The sequence below is a fragment of the Homo sapiens genome, chromosome 7, assembly GCF_000001405.40.
Source record: "Homo sapiens chromosome 7, GRCh38.p14 Primary Assembly".
NCBI classification, from domain to species: Eukaryota; Metazoa; Chordata; class Mammalia; order Primates; family Hominidae; genus Homo; species Homo sapiens.
In genome coordinates this window covers 142,048,359-142,070,211 of record NC_000007.14, presented here as the reverse complement: position 1 = coordinate 142,070,211, position 21,853 = coordinate 142,048,359, and the positions used below count along the sequence as shown (strand labels likewise).

Below are 21,853 nucleotides of genomic sequence, written 5' to 3'. Positions count from 1 at the left end.
TCTTTTTTTTTTTTTTCTTGAGACAAAGTCTGGTTCCGTCACCCAGGCTGGAGTGCAGTGGCACAATCTCAGCTCACTGCAACCTCCGCCTCCCAGGTTCAAACAATTGTCATGCCTCAGCCTCCCGAGTAGCTGGGACTACAGGTGCATGCCCCTACACCCGGCTAATTGTTTTTATTTTTCATAGAGATGGGGTTTCACCGTGTTAGCTAGGATGGTCTCGATCTCCTGACCTTGTGATCTGTCCATCTCGGCCTCCCAAAGTCCTGGGATTACAGGTGTGAGCCACCACACCTGGCCCAATTTCATCTTTTTCTAAACAGCTTGCTCCATGACTTCTTTTGTCTTTCCCTCTTCCATCAAAGATATCTTCTGGTAGTGAATGGGAGACTCAACATGCACACTCAGGACAAAGGCCAGTCTCACGTAAAGAAAGCTGGCCACCTCTTCCTGGGAAACGCCTGGCTGGGACACACATAGCAGAGCCTTAACATGTTACCACCCTAAGGGCAGATCCAGACTAGCAGCAGGAAGAGGAGTCTGGGGCTGTGGAGAGGACTTGGGCTCCAATGGACTGAGAAGAGAAGGAACAAAATTGCACATCCTTCTCCACTTTTCACTTAATCTCACTGAAATCTCCTTGGATGAAAGGGGCCAGCACATGCTCTGCTTCCTGTATCCCTGCTTGTACCCCTTTGTTGTATTTCCAGCCCTCAACTATGTTCTCCTCAGAAAGTCAGAAGAAGAGGCCTAGTTAGAAACGAAGGAAATACCTCCTTTGATTCTTCCCCAAGAATCAGGGTCTGATTTGTCAGGGTCCCAGCAAGAGCCCACCACCCCAGAGCTGCCCGGGAAGACCCTGGCTTCCCAGCTGAGTCTTTGGGAATCATACTAGCAATGAAACTATGCGGCAAGGAGCTCTTCATTGCTTCCTCATTTCTAAATGCACTTGCACTACTTAGACACACAAGGGTTGGGTCCCATACCTCTGTGTGTGTTTTGCACATTGCCTAATCACTTGTGTGCCTTATGTAATTATGTGCAGCGCCCCTCTTTGAGCATCTATGCTATGGAAGGAGGTATTTAATCAAAAGAGACAAAACGGCCTCTATGCTTACAAACTTACAGCAGGCAAAGATATCAACAATAAAAACAAAAACTATAGTTTGCAACACAATCTCAGATGTTGGCTAGCATCTGCCTTTACACAACATTGTAAATAGCAGTGATATAAAGAAATATTAAAAACTAACACAAAGAGAACACCCACAAAAAAACAGACCCTGAGTGAGATGCTTTATGTGTTATTTCACAATGGTTCTATGAGGAAAGTGGTCTTACCCCACTTGGAGGTGAGAAAACTGAGATTACAAGGGTTAAAGTGGCTTCTCTAAGACCACACAGCAGGTGGGTTACAGAGCCAGCATTTGACCTAAGGTCTATCGGACCTAAAGCCTTTGTACTCTCTACCACATTCCCGTGTTATATAAACATTCAGAAAAACTTACCGTGTAGTAATCGTACCAACGGGCTCTAGGGAAATATGCAGTGACATTTCTGGCATTCTAAAATGAAACACAAACAAGGTGAGGCAGTGCCACCATTTTCCAGGACAGAGTAACCAAACTGCTTAGGAAAGAGGTGAAATAATTGTGATGGCTTTGGACCCAGCTGCCTCATGTCCCAAGAGGTTAACAACTGGGGCAACCTTCTTCCTGTTTTCTTTTTTAAACCAGAGATTTGTCTACCCAAAACAAGTGGCTTTCATAAAGCACTTTGATATCCAGGACTTCGGGAAAAAATAAATCACTGTTTGCTTATAGACATAGACTTACCCCTTTGACTCTTAAAGAGACAAACAAGGGAGGTTGTGTCTGGGGCAGAAGAAAATTTTGTGGGTATAATGAGATTTTGGGGCCGGGCGCGATGGCTCATGCCTGTAATCCCAGCTCTTTGGGAGTCCAAGTCAGGCAGATCATGAGGTCAGGATATTGAGACCATCCTGGCTAATACAGTGAAACCCCATCTCTACTAAACATACAAAAAAAGAAAAAAAAATTAGCCGGGAATGGTGGCACATGCCTGTAGTCTCAGCTACTCAAGAGGCTAAGGCAAGAGAATCACTAGAACCCAGGAGGCAGAGGTTGAATGAGCCAAGATCATGCCACTGCACTCCAGCCTGGGCAACAGAGTGAGACTCTGTCTCAAAAAAAAAAAAAAAAAAATATATATATATATATATATATTTATATATATATATATATATATATATATATTTGAGGGAGGTACAATTAATTGATATTTTAATCAGAAGCCTAATCAACAACAGAAGTAAAGAAATGGCTTTTACTGCTGGGAGGAGCTCCTGTAGAGGAAGGGAAGGGTTAGCCAGCAGCAATACAAGTACACACATTGCCAAGTCATCCTTCTGAAAAGTTGTAATAGTGCTAGAGGACTGTTATAAATTTTTTACAATACTGCCCCCATCTGACCTTCTATTAATTATTTTAGTTAACGAAGAAATGATTGTGTCATTGACTATTCCATGAGGTGTTTTCTTCTTGATCATCCTACGAACCAGAATTGTTAGGCTCATTTTAAAGATGAAGGAGCTGAGTGCCAAGAACACCTAAGTGATGGACTTCAGCTCAGAAAGAGAGGAAGAGACACAGGTAGAATAAGAAACCATGTCTCAGGACCCCCACCAGCTCAGGCCTCTTCTCCTCGTCCTTTTCCCCAAGCCTCACAGCTGGGATCCTCCCCTCATCGGAGGCCTCCATACTCACGCGCTCCAGGACAGGGCTGACCAGGAAGGCTGGGCCCAGCAGGAACTGACTGTCTATGTCCCATGTCACCTGGTCTGACACAAACCTGGAAAGGGAAATGAAGGTGCCCAACAGAGCCCAACAGAGCCCCAGCCCGACACTCTGAAGAAGCTCCTCAAGTTCAGATCCAAGTCGGAAATACAGCTGCCCCTGAGCCATCCTTGCTTTGTTCCTAGGCCTAGCTTCATCAGGAGCACCCAGCCTCTGCTTTCCCCATGGGATGTGCCTCAAACTTCAGAAATGCTGGGATGTAGATGTGTTCTCTCCTGTAAAATATTACCTCATTTCTTAACCATGGCACATTTTAAATGTGAGGATGGCCCTCGTCCCTCAATTCTCTTGCTGAAATCCTTCTTTTGTGACCTGGGTCCATATAACAAAACTGCTACATAAGATAGGCCTTTGCACAACCAAATTAGAATGAAACTATTCTATGCTGTACTGCATCATTTCAATTTTCGTCATTCAATAAATACCCTTTTTTTATGACCTACGGTATGTATAACACTGTGCTAAAGACAGTAATCAGGTATACTTTGTGTCTGAAGAGCTCATGTCAAAAGGCCATCATGTCTTTAATTTGGAAGCGTTGTGTATATCAACTGCTACCACATAGAATGCAATAAGTCATCCATTAGTCATCGGGATCCCTGCTGGACACTCACTCATGGAGCAGAGGCCGCACAACAGTGACGCCCTCCGTGTGGGCCTTTTGCATCAAGGTATACAGATATGGCAACAGGGTGTATCTGGTCTGCAGGACATTTCTGGAAATATTCACAAAAGCAGCATCCCAGGACACAGGGTCTTGTCTCTAAAGGAGAAAGAGAACAGTGTTGGGAGCTCGCCCTGGAATTTCTAGGGGATTTAAGAAGGTCACTAAAAGCATACTCCAATTGAAGATCACTCACAGCTAAACAAAAGAAAACTATACATGAGGCCCAGAGAATATTCTTAATAGACCGGAAAGAGTCACCAAAGCTCTCCTAAGACAGCTGATAAAATTTCACTGTAAGACATTCTTTTTGGAACATTTGGTAAAATTCTGCCTGAAATACAGGAAAAAAATAATAATCTAAAGCACAATGAGGAATATGGTTCATTGAGACACCAGGTCTTCACAATTTTTAAGGGTGCAGTGGCTCACGCCTGTAATCCCAGCACTTTTGGAGGCTGTCGAGTGGATCGCTTGAGCCCAGGAGTTCGAGACCATCCTGTGAAATATGGCAAGATCCCATTTCTACAAAAAATCAAAAATTAGGTAGCCACGCTGGGATGTGCCTTTATCCCAGCTATTCAGAAGGCTGACGTGGGACAATCGCTTTAGCCCCAGAGGTGGAGGCTGCAGTCAGCCATGATTGGGACACTGCACGATTCAGCCTGGCCAACAGAGTAAATCCCTGTTTCAAAAAAAAAAACAAAACAAAACAAAACAAAAAAAAACACCTTTTTTTAAAGATATCCCAGGAAATAGAGACTGCATTACTTTTAGCACAGAAATGGAGACTGTCTTTCAAGTGACATAAAACAGTGGAGGTAGAAGCCACTGTCCTACCCTGGTCCCAATGGTATTGTGGTTTCTTGAGAAGGGGTAAAAGGCCCCCAGCTGCATCCAGCGAACACACATCTCGTACTCAGCGTCTTGAAAGAACCCACAGATATCTGCTCCCGTCTGAAACAAGAGGAAATAAAAGGAGCCTGCTGATGATTTCTGAAAGATGTCCCCACCTTCTTGGTGCTTAGGAGGATCCCAAGGACACTCACATAGGATATGCCAAAGAGGCTGAACTCCATCATGCCTGCAACGAGAAGCACAGCTGTGTCACACCAGGCTCTCATGATCTGCCTCCTCACCTCTTCCCTAAGGATCCCAACTCCCTGCCCTGTCGGCAAAGGCCCTGGGGAAGGACCCACGCACCAATGATAGACTTCTTCAGCTGATCCCATGCGGCCGTGTTGTCTCCCAGCCAATGTCCTGCCCAGCGGCCAGAAGAGGGAAATGTGGAGCGGGTGATGACGACCCCTCGCTGTCCCGTCACCTCCTGCACGGCTCTGCTTGGAAGGGAACAGGAGGTGAACTGAGGCAACAGCCAGGGAGTAAAGGCCATAGAGCTTCTGCTCCCAGAGCCCTTGAGCCTAGTCAATGTTTGCTGCGTGACTGGAGGGAACATGGGACTCTGAGCTGTAATAGGAGTTCCACTGATCCCAGATGATGGAGATAATGAGTCACGTGTTCTCACAGTGCTTTACAAAGAACTTCACTGTAGCAGCCTCACTGGAGTACTCCCAAAATACTAAGGAATTACTATGTCTTGCTAATGGTTTCCTCAATACTTAGTTTTCTATATTTGAGAAGGAACACAGTGAAGGTTATAAGATCCTCTTAGAAGAATTCATACTATTCATTGAGCTTGCAAAGCAGGACTGTGCTAATTCAGTACAATACCAGTTACCCTCCACCAAGAATGGCCAAAAATACAAACATCTCCAAAGATGATTCACTTTGAAATGAACGGGAGAGATGCCCAGTCCTCTGTGTTCCCTTCACCTCCTGTAACTAAAGCTATTGTTCCACTGGCTGCCCTGTGTGACCATTATGGTGTCTCCATGTGAGTCTTTCCCACTAGGATCATTAAGTTTTTCACTGGTGGGACCATGCCTTATTTAAATCTGTCCTCCTACTTTTAATCACAGGGCCTGGCTCCATGTCAATGAGCATTTGTTTAATAAATAAGAATCATTACAGAGTTATGAGAATCTTCTTAATCCTTAGAAATGGAATGAAAGGAAAACTAGGGTAGCTATGTCAGTCACTGGCAATCGCTATAGGTTGTGACAGCTGGAGAAGGGAGACGGAGACTCACTCGTATGTGGGTCTGGTCTGGGACCACCCATACAGGTTGTGCACGTTGTAGTGCTGCACCAGGGAGCCGTCTGGGAGGATCTGCTGACTCTCCATACAAAGGGTCTTGCTGCTCAGGCCCCTGTCCCTGGACTCCAAATCTGAGGAGGAAGAACTGGCGAGGTGAAACCCAGCCCTGATTCTGTTTCTCCCTGACTTCTCTTCAAGGGACTGGGCCCTGGATCTTAAGACTAACTTCAGTCCTGCCTGTGTCGCTCTCCATCTCCCCAGAGACATGAGCACAGCGCCCCCAGCTCTGAGCTGCATTGGCGCCTGCTGTGTTTCCAACATCAAGTTCACTGAAGGAAGCAGAGGTGTCAGGAAGAACGTACAGCTGTCAAACACTACATGACGGGCTCTGATTTAGGCTTTTGACTTCCAATTATTTCCATAATTCTATGAAGAAGATCTCATTATCCGTCTTTTACAATTTAGCAAACTGAGATTTGGAAATATCACATAATCTGTGAAAAGTCACAAAACTCCTAGAGAGAACAATTTCTGGAGCCAAGATATGAACCCAAGTGTAACTCCAAAGTCCATCAGCTCCATGATAAGGGGAAGCCAGTAATTTCCACTCACTGATGACACAAGAAATTCCTGTGATGGAATTCACACAAGCCTAAAAACTAAGAAACTCAGCTGTGAGAACCCTTTGTGCCATGAGCTCTGCTAAGTGCTTTCTGGACAAATTTCAAGAAATTTGCTCAATGAGTCTAGTCACTTGCCCATGCCCGGCTGGGTAAAGCACGTGCAGAGCTTTTGTCTCTGGTCCCCAGTAAACCACAGCAGCCATGAGGATGTGCCCTCAGCTGTGGGGCTGCCCCTGGCCTCGGGCTCCTCCAGTGTAATCCTTCCAGTCATGGCTCTGCCAGTCAAGGAGGCCAAGGCTTCTTACGTGGCATGTAGGGAGGGTGGTTCAGAGAGGCGTCCCTGCAGCCTGGAGAAACTGCCCCATTCACGAAGCTTGATGGTTCATTCATATCCTAGAAATGCCAAACACAGACATACCTCACTTTTTAAGATAATTACGTCCTGCCAATTCTGAGCCAAGGAAGTAGTGAATAAATTGTTCAACATCCAGTAATCTCTGTAGATGCCAGCCCTGGGAGCTTCATCAAATCCTGGTGAGAACTGGCTAGAAAGATTAATTCACTCCTACAGAACGACTGGCTAGAGGGGTAAAAAAATAGATCTCTTTCAGGGTGGCTGTGAGGCAATCAAATTTCCAGAAATTCCTAGTAAATTGCCTCCCAGGTTTTTTTTTTGGTTTTGTTTTTCATTCTTTGAGATGGAGTTATGCTTGTTTCCCAGGCTGGAGTGCAATGGTGCGATCCTGGCTCACTGCAAACTCTGCCTCCTATGTTCAAGCGATTCTCCTCCCTCAGCTACCCAAATAGCTGGGATTATAGGCATGTGCCACCACACCCAACTAATTTTGTATTTTTAGTAGAGACGGAGTTTCTCCATGTTGGTCAGGCTGGTCTCAAACTCCCAACCTCAGGTGATCTGCCCACCTCAGCCTCCCAAAGTGCTGGGATTACAGGCGTGAACCACCACGCCTGGTCCCGCCTCACAGGTTTTACAGTAGGAGCGTCAGGTCTGGTAGAAGGTGTGAGGGCTACCAGGGCAGTTCCTCTCCTGAGAGGAAGAAGTGTCTGCTATGTCCAAAGTCTTCTTTGGACAATGACTATCCTCTTGATTGAAGGTCAGTGGTACATATACTTAGGCACACAAAGATAGACAAGAGCCACTGGTACACAGAGACACACACACACTTACAATCCACATGCCATCAAACTTCAAGCTCCTCTCTGGATTCTGTGGATTGTTGTATAGTTCTTCTATTTCCCTCTTCCACCACTTGGCAGTTGAATTACGGAAAAAGTCTGGGAAGGCCACATAAGCTCGATATAGCTATAAAAAAGAAATATAATTTCTTTGTCCCACACAAATATAGAAGACAGCAAACAGGCACTTACTGAGAATGCAACTCACACAAATACTTCAACTGCATGGTGACAGACAGCCTGAACAGGGCCTAAATAATGTTATTAACTTCTTAGAGAAATGTAGAATGAGAGGAGAAATTAGTGCAATTTGCACACCTTCCCAGCATTTGGAAAACATCCAAAAACTGTTCTCTTCCTATACACGTGGATGATGACAATCAATGACCCGAACTAGTGACCTCATGCACTCGATGCCCAACCCTCAACGTCAGTCCTGCCATTTCCTATGCACTCCTCAAAGACAAAGCCAGGGAGAGACTGCAGACATGAGATGCATGGTAATAGGTTAGGAAGAAACACCCAGGGACTCCCTCCTATGTCATTCCCACTGAGAGAGGGGAGGAAGGAATAAGATTACATTTCTGGATATTAGACAAGTACGCCTCAGTGTTTTCTACGATTTCAGAATCACATGACAACTACAGCTGTGTGTAACATAAATTGAGAGGACTTAAAGAGGATGCATCAACTTCCCTTTATTTTCCTCTACCCTCACATAATAAAAGCAGTGTTTTTACCTTAACCTGAAAGAAAGATTCAAGATACAACTTTTTAACTACATTGTAGATTTTTGAGAGTAAGAAGTTTGTTTTATATCCTTCTGAGTGATATTTATATTGCCCACAATGCTGAGCTTAGAACCTGGGATAAAATACATACTCAGTGTTTAACAGTGGGTTCACACCACTTAGAAGCAGCAAGTAAATGTCCTTCAATTTTAATATACTCATGTTGTTTGTTATAGAACATTACAGTCCTTTGTTTGTCTCAGTAAATAGCCTCCTCTATGATAATCACACCATTGTAAGAGTGAAAGAGCTAAAGAATGCTGGTGAGGAGGGTGGGGAAGGCAACAAAAACAGGACTTGGTCTAGGGGAGCTCCAGTTCTTATACACCACAGATAAAGGGCAGGTAGGAACCCAGATGTCTAGAAAAAGGGCAGAAAAGGGAACATAAGAAAACAGAAACAGATCAGCCTATATGGGTCTGGCAGTCAAGGATGTGAGAAGACAGTGGGTCACATCACAGAGAATCTTGAGAGACGTGGGCATGCCAGGGATGCCTTTTGTTAGGAAATGGAGGTAGGAACCAGGAAACCCGACAAAGAGAACCTTTCACCAGAAACTGAGAGCTCCAGATCAGGCAGGGTTAGAAACGACGGGATGGGTGGGGGATGGAGAATTAGAATAAAGAGATTATCAGCCACAGCTGAGTCAGAATTCTATCCCATACGGGGTACACGTAGGGAACCTGGCCAGCCGTGAGGTAGGAACTTCCCTAAGTACTGCTCGGATGACCCTTTCCAACTTCATAAAAATGTTCTGCCGTTCTCCAAGGTGCTGGCTTTGCCTGTCCATATTCAACTCTTGCCTTGTGGCTTCTGCCTTCACTTTCTCCACTCTCCTGTAAGGAGCCATGTATTCATTCAAGCAAGAAATGCTTAGTCAATCGGGAAAAAAATTCAGGTCCAGAAGCATGGACTACTTGGATCCATTACAAGCAACAAACCGTCCCCAGGAGAGAGCAAGTTTTACAATAAGGCTGGAAACTGACAGGTAAAAGCAAAGTTGAGAAACCCAAGGAATGGTGGGGCTCGGGGCAGGACTCGTAAGTATGAAGATGGAGACACCTGTTCATGGGGAAAAAAAGAAAGATATACAAAGAAAATGACCTAGTCAGTCTTCGAGGGTTGAAGACTGTTTAAAAGGGATAACCGAGGCAACAACAGTAAGTATGCCAGTTCAGAGAAAAGATGGCACTGCTAGGAGGTATCGCCCAGTGGGAATTTCTTGGGCCTTTGGAATCTGACAGCCTTGGAATTGAAATCACCACTCTGTCACCTAAAACTGTGAACAAATAATTTAAGCTCTCTGGTCTTAAATTCCAAGGATAATAATACATATCTACATCCCAGTGGCCAGTAAAGTATGACTACCTATAAAGTAATAGGCATACAGAATGACACCCAAGACACATCACCTAAGTGTTTCTCCCTTGCCAAGCCCATGTCCACGGTACAGGCATGTCCACAATCCCAGGAACAGCTGCCCCTGCCTACAAACCCTGACTCCACCCAAATTTACAAACACCCTTTTACCTCCACTTGGCTGTCCCAGTCTAGAGACCCATTCACAACAACATCAGGAAAATCAGGCCAGACCTATGGAGAGAAATACGTTCAGTAGCGATGCACTAGACAATTTCCCTTACATAGTATTTCCTAATAAATTGTTATACAAACCGTGCTCCTAGGAGCAATAATACTTTGACTATCACATAGGATTGACATAAAAGAAAAGTGAACTCCATAACACGTTACATTACCTTAAAAGTCGTTAATTGTATCAACAAATATTGATTGAGAAAAGGAGAGCTTCTGACCTCAGAGCCCAAATAGAAAAGGCCAAAAATAACATACACAGGCGTGTGACCCACTAACAGTGACCCACCAACAGTGACCCACCCTCAGGCTGGGGACTAGTGGATCATCGCTTAGGATTATACCTTTCCCCAGACAATGTCTCCATCATTTGGGTATTTGATGAAGACGTCATCCTCCACGCCCCGAGTGAAGGCAGGATAAGGCTGTGTCTCATTGCCAGAAATGGCTGGATCCTGAAATCAAAGCATAAGTCAGTTGGGAAAACCAAAGCCAGAGAATGAGGAGAAACAGAATGAAGGAGAACTCCTCAAGGGTGAACTCGCTGGCTTCTACCTGCACAGTAGAGTTTCTGTGAGTCCTGGGAAATACACCTTTCTTACTGCACTTCAATTTATCTACTTGCAACATGGAAATAAAGTATAACTCTGACTCCACCAAAGCCCATACCTGCTCCCAAACAGACCGCACACATTCACATCAGGACTAACCAGAATGAGGATGACCCGCATCCCATCAGCCTTCATGCGATTGATCAGAGCTGGAAACCCAGCAAACTTGGGGCTGAGGGTGAAGTCCAGCTGCCGCTCCATGTAGTCGATGTCTGAGTACTGCACATCCTGCGGGAGGACATGGGGAGCTGAGAGGCTGCTGCTGTACACGCCCAAGCTTTATAGGAGAACAACCCTCCACCACCCATGGTGGAATTCCAGACAGCTTCTTGTTGATGCATTCAAATCCCAGCTCTGCCATTTGTTAGGTACAGGTGCTGGGAAATACACTTAATTTTTAAAATGTTCAGTGATAAGATAGAAAAAAAATCGAAGTCAGCACAAGCTAGGATGAGAATGCGTCTCTAGCATGGCTATTCTGAGGATAAGAGAAAACACTGGTTTGGAAAGTGCTTTGTAAACTGCCACTATCAGGAGTGATGGTGATGACCTACCCCAAGAGGCTGCCCCTGGTATCAGTGGTTCATGTTTAGGAAAAATACTGTTAATTATCCAGGACTAATAGTAAATCTACTACAAAACAAAGCAAAGATGTATAGTTGCTTTGGAATACCGAATCTTGAGGGTAATCATACACAACATTCTTCCTGAGACTGTAATATTGCATTTCACTATCCACTAATGGAAACACTACATTCCACTAATGGAACAACTGTAAACAATAGAAAAGTGGGATAAAATTAAATATGTGATGGTTCATGGGATCAATTCTCTGATGACTGGGTCCCCTCCCATCCTCCACTGAAGGATAAGGTTTCTTTCCATATGTATGTCCTCTGGAAACCCATCCCAGGATCTGTTTAATCCATCTGTTATTAGCTCAGAGCTGATGCAGGAACTGAGGTTGTATTCACATATACAATTGTCTGATTGATTTGTGGTTAGTCTTTTCAAGAATTAAGTAAAAGAACTGTGGGATATACTTTATTCTTATGAAACCAAGGACTTTTTTGACTACATGTTTTGAAGCCAAGTGAAAGAAATGGAAGGAAGCACGGGAGAGCAGAAAGAGCCCTGGAGCCAGCCTATCTCCCACTCTGGCGAGTCATGCTGGGTCTTGAGCTGTCATCTCTGGAAGACGGAAACAAGTGCCCTTACCTATATTACTGTGCTGGGGTGAGGCTAACTGTGATATTGTCTGAAAAAGAACTTTATGTCTTTATGGAATCCAACAAACATTAGACAAATGAACCCAGACACAGAGGCACCTGGGTTAGTTTTGAAACTCCAGAGCCATGACTGAGAACGTACATAAGGGATCTGGGCAGCCACCATCTCATCATACAAGCTGGCGATCTCAGAGTCATTCTGGTAGCCATAGCGACACAGCTGGAACCCCAAAGACCAGTAAGGTACCATCACAGGCCGGCCAATCAACTAGAAAATAGACAGAAAATATTAGTCTTCAGAACAGAGGCACCACATTGAAGTTTTACATCAAGTAATAAGAATATTTTTCTGTGCCCCAAGCTAGACAACTAACTAATTGAAATCCAGACCAAAACTGACAGGATATAGAGCCACTAGGATACTTAGAGAAAGCTTTCTGCTAGACTTGAGCTCCTTCTTAAAAATTATGGAAAATCTGATGTTACGCTATTCCTAGAGACACTGTAGATAACTGGTTAAGAAACCCAGAATCAGAGACATATGCCTGGCTTAGTATACAGGCTCCAATCCTGCTAGCTGTGTGACCTTGGGCAAAAATTAAGTAATCTCTTAGTGCTTCAGTTTCTTCATCTGTAAATAACGGATAATAATAGCATCTGCCTGATAGTGTTTCTGTGATGCATGAATGAGTTAATATGTGTGAAATGCTCTAACATGCAGCAAGTGATAAATCAGTGATGCGCACTTGGTAGTATGTAAGTGTCTGTTGTTGCTGCCACGACCACCATGGTCATCATCACCATCATCACCACCACCATCATCACTATTTTCACCATCACCCCCAGTACCACGATCGTGCCCCCACCACCATTACCATTATCATTACCCTTCACTACCGTCACCACCACCCCCCACTACCACCCCCACCACCACCCCAACCACCATCCCCACCATCACCACTATCACCACAACCACTATCACCAACATCACACTCCTCACACCACCTCACTGTCACCACCACTACCACCACCACCATAACCAACACCACCATCATCATCACCATCACTACCACAAACACCATCGTCAGCCCCACCCTTGTCACCATCACCACCACTATCACCGTCATCATCACCAACACACCCATTACCACCACCCCCACCACTATCATCACCATCACCAACACCACTACTACCACCACCATCATTATCACCATTCCCACATCACTATCACCACCGTCAGCCCCTACTGCCATCATCACCATATAACCACAAATAACACCAACATCACACTACTATCACTACCAGCACCACCACTAGTACCACTATAACTTCTGCTATTCTGCAATGCTTACAGAGGCTATAAATTTAATGATAATTAGAATGTATTTATTTTTTCTCATTCTATAATCTCTCTCCAAGAAAGACCAATATTTCCAGTTGTCAACTGAGAGTTATACTAATCAATGTGGACTCTGGCACCCAGAATGTGCTGTGTAAGTACTTGATAAACAATTGGATTTCCCCCTACCTCAGTGTACTGCTGGGTGACAAGCTCTGGAGTCGGCCCCAAGAACACATAAAAGTCCAGAACTCCCCCTGTGGTGCGGTATGTCAAGGCAGGCAGGGGCTGGAACGTCACATCTGAAAATAAAGAAAAATGCCAAGCCTCACGGACACCTTCCATGTCACGAATCACCCCTGAAATCCACACATTCTCCATCTTCCTGCACCCTCCCTATCATAGAGTAGTAACAGCAGGCATTTTCTATCATACTCACAGAACTGAAGAAGATCAATGGAAGTCTACAGGTCCCATTCCTGGGTTTGATTCTCTTTAGGGTACTTTACTATATTTTATCATTCTACTCTTATAAAATTATTATTTTTTACATTTCAAGTTTTATGTTAGATAAAGAGATACCTGTTCAGGTTCCTTACATGGGAATATTGCATGATGCTGAGGTTTAGGGTATGGATCCCTCACCCGGACAGTGAGCAGAGTACCCGATAGGTAATTTTCCAACATACCATACACCCTCAATACCCCCAGACTAACTTCTCTGACCCATAGTTTTACCCTAATTCAAATTATATAACTGGCTCTCACGAGCTGCCCTCCAGGATATTTGGGACCCATGTGGTGTTACTATCCCTTCTTATGTGATTTTTACCAAAATGAGAGTTGGGTTAAATCTTCTTATTACATGATATTAGATTGAAATAAACAGAAAGGCTAAACACAAAGAAAAAATAAACAGCAGTGCCCGTAAAATGAAGATTTTGCCTTCAAGGAACAGTTAGGCTAAACACATTGTAAATTGACTCAGGCATGATTGGTATCCCCCCAAAATAAGGGAGGTGCTGATGGCCTTACCCATGGCATTGCTGTTCAGCAGGAGCACTCCATGGGCACTGCCGTCCTCCTCCAGCCCCATGTAGTAGGGGTGGACACCATAGGAATTCTTCTTGTACTGGGGAGTCATGGGAAGAAGCAGTAGGAGTTTAAAAGACATTATGCCTGAGAAAGAAACTCAACAAAAATGTGCTTGCTAACATGGCTCTAGTTTTCTCCATGAAACTAGACACATAAACTAAACACATGAAACAAAGGAGCCTGAGAATTGGCCCACTTGCCTAAAAGCAGAATGTGATGACCAAGTGGAGTTTGGGAAGATGAAGCCCAAAGCCTGAGCAGTGTGGGTGGAGAGAAGCAGAGACACAGATCCCAAATGCTCTGTCCTTACCCCTGGGGGCTGGTCTCGGGAGAACATCCCCCAAGTGTGCCACTCCAAGTCTCTCCTATAGGACCTGTGCTCAGTTTCCCCAAAGCCATAGAGGTACTTGGAGGGAAGGCGGGTGGAGATGCGGATAAACATGTCACTGAAGGTAAAGCCAAGGAGCTGAGAGTCCCAACTGAAACACAAAAACGCAGATTTGAAACAGAAAATGAGCTTTTATCTCTGTTTCCAGCAGGTGACTTTTCAAGGACAACAGAACACTTGATTCCTACCAAGAAGCTGTTCATATCCCAAACAAAACTGAAACTCAATTTGATTAAAATATCACAGATATCCTCGCTAAAAGCCCAGGAGTTATTCATCATTCTTCCGTTTCCCTCTGTCACTGCCTCCTTTCAGTGGTCCTCCACAATACAAATCCAAGCACCCCTCATCATCACAGCTGGGACCACTCCACACCAGCACTGCCTTCCATCCTTGCACCCCTCAGTCCATTTTCTACATAGCACTCAAAGTGATATTTACTTATTATTTGTTGTCATGAGAAGAGAAACCTCAGCTGTGTATAAGGAGCAGCACCTAATCTAGAGAAGGCACCCCATAAACATTTGTTGGATGAATCCTCAGGCACATTCAACTCCTTCAGTATTTATTTCCAGAATGCTAAAGATTTCCTGTAAGAATAGGTCTGAAGGAAACAACTCATCCATGGATCTGGAAGTGGACAATGTGATGTTTTGAACCAGGATACATCCAAGGACAATGGACCTGGCAGCGAAGGCGCAGGTAGCCATCAACTCTGAGTCACACTAGAAGCCACTCACATTATAGTGCCTGTACTCTTCCGGCGAATTTCAATCCCAAATGGATTCTTCTTAATGAGCACATCATAGAGTTGACCCTCAGGGGTGCTGGATGGCATGCTGGGTATGTTCAGAGGGACTGGAACTTCATACCGATTCTTGTTGGGATCATAAATCTAGGCCAGAGGAAATCAATTTTAGGCAACAATACTACTCTTGAAACCTATACCCTTAGCAGAACCTTTTTGATTTTTGGACACAAAGTTCAGATGCTATGTTTCTATCTTCTTTATGATATCTGAGATTTAATTAATATATCAGATAACAATGTCACATTTAACATTTTTCTGTGATTTCTCATTATTAAGGCCTCTATTACCTTAATAAACTCAATGGGACATTGCTGCTGACTTGGAAAATCATTCTGGAATCAGTGTGGTATTTATGAATATGTTACTTGTTATTTTCTGTGGGTATATGAGTATATATAAATAACTTAAAATCATTATGAGTTCAAAAAAAAACCTGTCTCCCCAAAATGAAATCTATTTGATTAAAATAATCAGAATGTCCTTGCTGAAAGTGGTATCTAAACTGATTCATGAGTACCTACTACATCCCCTGCCTGACACTGCACAAGACACTAGGGACGTGAGCTCAATAAGGCAGTGTTATGGTTTTACGAAATTCACATGCGAATAAGAAGTCAAAGAGAGCAGCTCACAACACGTGGGTGATGTGTGCTAAGGGAGAGCTATGTAGAAGTGCTGTGAGATTCTAGGGAAGGAAATGCCTAACATTGTTTCTGGGAGACTGAGACGGTCTCACGGGAGAAATACAGTCTAGAATATTAAAAGCTTGGTAGTCATTAACCAAACAAAGAAAGGAGATCAAGTCATTCTGGTGAAGAATAACAACCACGAAGGCAGAGAGAATTAAAGTGGGCCAGAAAGAGGCACATATTTTGGAAAGAGTTACTCTACGGTCAAGAGGTAGAGTAGGCAATGGTTAAGGCTAGAACTCCAGGGAAGTTCATTCACTTCAAACCCATTAGGTGCCTAAAACATGCTAGTGTTACAAGGAGGGTACAAACATACAAGAGATTCTTCCCTGCATTAGAGGATGAACAAGAACTCAGAATTCGGGTTGATGTCAGATTGTAAAGAACCTTTCAGGCAATGTGACAATGTCCTGACCACTTTCACTTACTCTGTCAATAACATTACAGCACTATCGGCCAGGCTCTGTAGATTTCAGAAGCACAAACAGGAAAGGGCACATTCCTGTCCTTGAGAAGCTTAGTTTAATAGAAAAATAGACATCACAGCTAGTCCATCCCTAGTCCTTAAATGCAATTAAATTCTGGAAAGAAATGAAATTACTGCATATTGATGGCCATTTTACAGAAATCTCAAATTCAGCATCCCAAACTGAACATATCATCTTACATTGATCAAGCACAAACTTTTTCAGTATTCCTATTTGAGTTAATGTCAGCACCATCCATATTAAGATGCAAGATACCAACACGGTCATCATTCTTGATGTTCCATCTCCATTGTCACCTGCTTGCAATTGAGCACTAGATCCTGTAACCCAACTTTCTCAACCTCAGACGGGTCCACTGTTCTCCACCTGCATTCCACTGTCTAGTCCAAACCTAATCCCTCCACTGACCTGCCTAACTGGTAGCCTCCCAAGTTGTCTCTCCGTACCTACTCTTGCTCTCCCAACCATTTTCCTAACAGTAGCCACAGTAATCTTTTCCAAATGAAAATTAGGGCAGGTCTCATTGTTCCCTCAATGATTTCTCAATGCTCTCTGGATAATGATATAGTCTGTTGTAGCATGATTAACTTATTTTAGGGTTCTGTGATCCAGACCAATAAAAGGTAATGGAACTGAAAAGGGTCTAATCACTACCTGATACATGTACTGTGTTTACCTTGAACTGCAGCATTTCATTCTTATGGTAAGTGACATCCAGGCGAAGGGGGTTCACGGGTGTGGAGGGGAAGGCATTGGCATAAACGGAAGACTTTAAGGAGATGTCAGCTGTGGCCCCATGGGAATTATACTGAACATCACTGACAGAGTATAGGTCGTTGACAAAATAGCAAAAAGGGACTCCAGAAGAATTGGATGCCTGAAAAGTAAGGCCAAAGTCATAGATCAGCACAGCATGTGGTCTTAAAGTTCTCTAACCTAAACAGGGTTAGTAAAGTCATTTTATATGACGATAAAACTAGCCCATCACTTATCACTTGGCAATAACATAAATTTCAATTCCTTGTCTCCAAGCAAAATATTCATCTTAAGAAGTTTCGCACATGTCCCCACCTACTTGTCACATCTAGATCCTGTCCCTTAGGAAGTTCTTTCTATGGATTTTAAGTAGTTATGTAAGTACCACTGCTATGCTTAAGAAACTACAGATTAGGTGTGGAGATTCTCATGCACACAAACCCCATCAGCATGGTTACCTCCCAGATACAGCCACGGGCAGTGCAGTTTTCGGCAGAAGCACCATTCTCATCAGGGTAACAGTCTATTTTTTCTTCATCCCTTATCTTTATGCTCCATTCCACTGTGTATGCTTCTCCCAGGAGAAGATCAATATCTGTGATAATGGCAACCTGTAGGAATGTGGAAATCATAAGGAAATTCATCTTTAGGAGACAGGCTTTGCAAGACCTGAGGTTTTTTTTTCGATAAAAAAAAAATAGAAATTAGACCAGACTTTCAAACATCCAAGCAACATATGACTTTAGCTTATAAGAAGAGAACTGCACATTGGGAGAATCTATTTAGCAGCAACAGGTCAAATGTCTCCCCTCTAGCACAATCTTGTACTTAGCATAATGAAAACAGTTAGGTCAAATAAAACCTGTTGTGATCACCCCTTATTCTTTTCTACCCTGACTCCTCTTAGCTCGCTGTGAGATGACACATGATGTCATCCTAAAGTGAGTTGATCCTCTTGCTCTCCAATGCCCAAACCAGTATCACCCATTGGCGTGGAGTGGTAGAAAGAGCACAGCAATAAGAATCATATGACCTGGTTATCATGCCCACATTTCTGTAGAATGTTGGACAAATGATTTCTTTTTTTAATTTTTAATTTTAATGGGTATATAGTAGGTATGCATATTTATGGGTTATATGAAATATGTTGATTCAGGCATACAGGGCATAATAATCACATCAGGGTAAGTCAGGTATTCTGTTTCATTTCTTTGGGTTTCAATTTTAGCAACGGCAAATTTGAAAAGTTGAAAAAAACATTATATTTCTTTCTATTTCTAACATCCCAGCATGTTCATTTCTCTAAGCCCAAAGACTCCAATTCTGAAACCTTCCTTGAATACCATTAGTTCAAATATTTAATATTTTTCTATATAGTTTTCTTATCTTGACACTTCTTTAAACAACACTTCCCAAGTTAAAGTTCTCACTTGTCTGGAGTACAAAAATCACATTCTAAAGATTATCATCCTTCTCCTAGTCTCCTCCCAATCTAAACCATCTTGTACTTCCCTGTTCTACTAGTCCCCAGCCCCCACTCCCACTCCCAACAATGCTCACACACAGTAGCACAGCCTTCATTCAAGGATCAATATGAGACTGCTTGAGAATTAAATCAAGTTGGTAACTAAGACCTCCAAAACCTGACCACAAGTTTCCTATCCAAACTGGCCTTTTTCAAATACCAATTCTTATTTGTGCTAGTCATACAAAATTCACAGTCTAATAATGTCAGGCTATTCCCCACTTTCCAACTTTGCTGTTCCTGGGTCTCATCATAATTATTCTATTTTTGGGAAAAGCAAGTGAAACCAGCTAGAAAGACGGGAACACTGATAGGCAGAGAAGGGAATAAGAAGAAAAATACCCAACTCATTCTAGCTCTGGCCACCTCATTTTTTTCCCCAGCCCTCTCACTTCCCCAAAACAGGCCTCAAAGGTGCCCTGGTCCTTCAGGGACCCATGCAAACTTGGCAAGAAGGAACATCACGATGCTATGGAGAATTCTCAATGTACCATCTCAACAAAATGGGTTTTTACCTTCAGGTTAGAATCATAAGTGACTGTAGGAGAAGTCTGACTTGGGACACCATTGTGTTTCACTGTAACATTGCTAGGTTCCTCCGTCCCAAGAATTTTAATCTCATTAAATGCTAAATTATTGGGGTCCTTGTAGGTTGATTGTGAAATATTCACCTCCAAGCGGTTCTGCAAAACAATTAAGTCCAAGTATGCATAAAGGTATATGAGTATACACAGATTCTCAAGTCACTCAAATATTCCATTCCAGACCGGATACCCCCCACTGCCATAAATGCCTCTCTGCTTTCTCTACTAGTGTGTGCTGAAGAAGTACAACATTATTTGGATAATCCTCTAATTTAAAACGATCATAAAAACACACAGGCATTTAAAAACTGTGTTCAGAAACACTAGCTGCTATATTAATGCCTCCTTTTGAAAACATCGATGAAATCATAAATAGAAATGTACTCACCTATAGCCAATAATGCATATAAAGTTACAAATATAATCACACATATACAATATACACAAGCACAGATGTGCTAATGGTCAGTCCAAAGCCCACACCTAAGATTCATAAAAATATGCTACTCACTTGAGTGACAGAAAACTCACATAAAAGATACACTTTATTGGCCACAGTATCTGAAAGTGAGAGAAAGACAAGTCAGATTCTGGCCTGCCCACCTCAGAAGAACAGATTTCACCCTACCACTCCTTTCAGCTATGCCTTGAGGTCACACATAGCAGTTTTCCTTTTCCTTATGGATGAATAATTTTCAATTGTATATGTGTATCACATTTCTTTATTCATTCATTCATCAATGTATAATTAGATTGTTTCTATATCTTGGTTGTTGCACATAATGCTGTAATGAACGTGGGAGTGACTGTATCTCTTAAAGATACTGGTTTCATGTCCTCTGGATATACACCCAGAAGTGGGATTTCATGGGATTGTATGGAAGTTCTGTTAATTTTTTGAGGAACATGCATACTATTTTCCATAACGGTTGTAACAATTTACATTCTCACCAACAGTCTACAAAAATTCCATTTTCTCCACATCCTCGCCAGCACTTATCTCTTATCTTTTTTATTATTTCCATGCTAACAGGTGTGAGGTGGTAGCTCACTGTAATTTTTTATTTGCATACCTGTGTCACTTACTGATGTTGAGCATCTTTTCACATGCCAGTTAGCCACTTGTATGTCTTCCTTGGAAAAACATCTGTTCAGGTCCTTCACCCACTTTTTAATTGGGTCATTTGATCTTTTGCTACTGAGTTGCATGAGTTCCTTATTTTTTTATATTAATCTCTTCTGAGATACATGGTTTGCAAACATTTTTATCCATTCTGTAGTTTGCCTTTTCACTTTGTTGATTATTTATTTTCCTGTGCAGAAGCCTTTTAGTTTGATGTAGTCATGCTTGTTTATTATTTGCTATTTTGCCTTTGCTTTTGGTATCATATCCAAAAAGTCATTGCCAAGACTAATGTCAAGGAGGTTGTTTCCTGTGTTCTTCTAGGAGCTTTACAATTTCAACCCTTACATTTAAGTTTTTAATTTTACTTCTGCACAGTAGCAAAGATATGAAAATAACCTAAGTGTCCATCAATGGATGAATGAATAAAGAAATTGTGGTATATATATACAATAGAATATTATTCAGACATAAAAAGAAGAAAATTCTGCCATTTGCAACAGCATGGATGAATCTAGAGGACGTTATACTAAGTGAAATAAGCCAGAGACAGAAAGTCAAGTACTGCATGGTCTCACTTACATGTGAAACCTAAAAAAGTTGAGCTCCTAGAAGCAGACAGTATAACTGTTGTTCTTAGAGCCTGCAGGTGTGGAAACTGGGGAGATGATGGTCAAGGGTACAAATTTTTAGTTATTAGATGAATAGGTTCTGGGGATCCAGTCTACAGTATGGGTGGTGATGGATCTGTTCCTTAAAATAGCTGTGGTAATCATTATACTATGCCTATATATATATTAAATCCTCACATTGTCCACTTTGAATATATTTCATCTTTATTTGCCAATTAAATATTTTGCAATTAAAAAATAAATATTTAAATCTACACATTGGATTAGATGGACAAGAGTCTCCAAGGCCAAGCCATTGTTTTTCCTTCTCTTTCCTACTGGAACATTGCAAAGTTTCCCTTCCAAGGGCTTCCAAGGCATATGCCTCAAGGGAATCTATTTCCTAAACTTGAAGCACAGGAATTGTTAGTATACTGGATCCACAAATATGCTAAAAAGTATATTCTCACTGCCTCACTGGCAGGGGCATGATTTCTATATCATCAACATTTGCTCATAAGAATTTCAGGAGGAAGACATTAACATTGGGTTACGGGAACAGTCTTGAAACCATCTCTTCTAAGCACCCATTGACAATAAAAAGAGAGCCTATTGGCCAAGCATGGTGGCTCATGCCTGTAATCCCAGCACTTTGGGGGGCCGAGCCGGGCAGATTACGAATTTAGGAGATCGAGATCATCCT

General features: G+C 42.7%; 1 protein-coding gene across 13 annotated transcripts in view; it reads right to left on the bottom strand.

The window, feature by feature from the left end:
• The window catches only part of MGAM (maltase-glucoamylase), a 120,230-nt gene that overhangs the window by 36,536 nt on the left and 61,841 nt on the right, over nt 1–21,853 (bottom strand). For 9 of the 13 annotated variants that reach the window (XM_017012772.2, XM_047421011.1, XM_011516672.3 and 6 more), the window contains 21 exons: nt 19,928–19,977; nt 19,348–19,515; nt 17,766–17,918; nt 17,228–17,428; nt 15,304–15,458; nt 14,486–14,654; nt 14,116–14,212; nt 13,270–13,382; nt 11,884–12,009; nt 10,612–10,740; nt 10,246–10,356; nt 9,839–9,901; nt 7,510–7,644; nt 6,626–6,713; nt 5,690–5,828; nt 4,744–4,877; nt 4,590–4,624; nt 4,381–4,497; nt 3,491–3,639; nt 2,787–2,871; nt 1,509–1,565 (listed from right to left, as the gene is read on the bottom strand). In XM_017012772.2, coding sequence (XP_016868261.1) covers nt 1,509–1,565; nt 2,787–2,871; nt 3,491–3,639; nt 4,381–4,497; nt 4,590–4,624; nt 4,744–4,877; nt 5,690–5,828; nt 6,626–6,713; nt 7,510–7,644; nt 9,839–9,901; nt 10,246–10,356; nt 10,612–10,740; nt 11,884–12,009; nt 13,270–13,382; nt 14,116–14,212; nt 14,486–14,654; nt 15,304–15,458; nt 17,228–17,428; nt 17,766–17,918; nt 19,348–19,515; nt 19,928–19,977 — 2,474 coding nt within the window. Of the gene's footprint in view, nt 1–1,508; nt 1,566–2,786; nt 2,872–3,490; nt 3,640–4,380; nt 4,498–4,589; nt 4,625–4,743; nt 4,878–5,689; nt 5,829–6,625; nt 6,714–7,509; nt 7,645–9,838; nt 9,902–10,245; nt 10,357–10,611; nt 10,741–11,883; nt 12,010–13,269; nt 13,383–14,115; nt 14,213–14,485; nt 14,655–15,303; nt 15,459–17,227; nt 17,429–17,765; nt 17,919–19,347; nt 19,516–19,927; nt 19,978–21,853 lie in introns of those variants that run through there. The other 4 variants (NM_004668.3, XM_047421014.1, XM_011516674.3 and 1 more) reach the window with 4 other exon arrangements.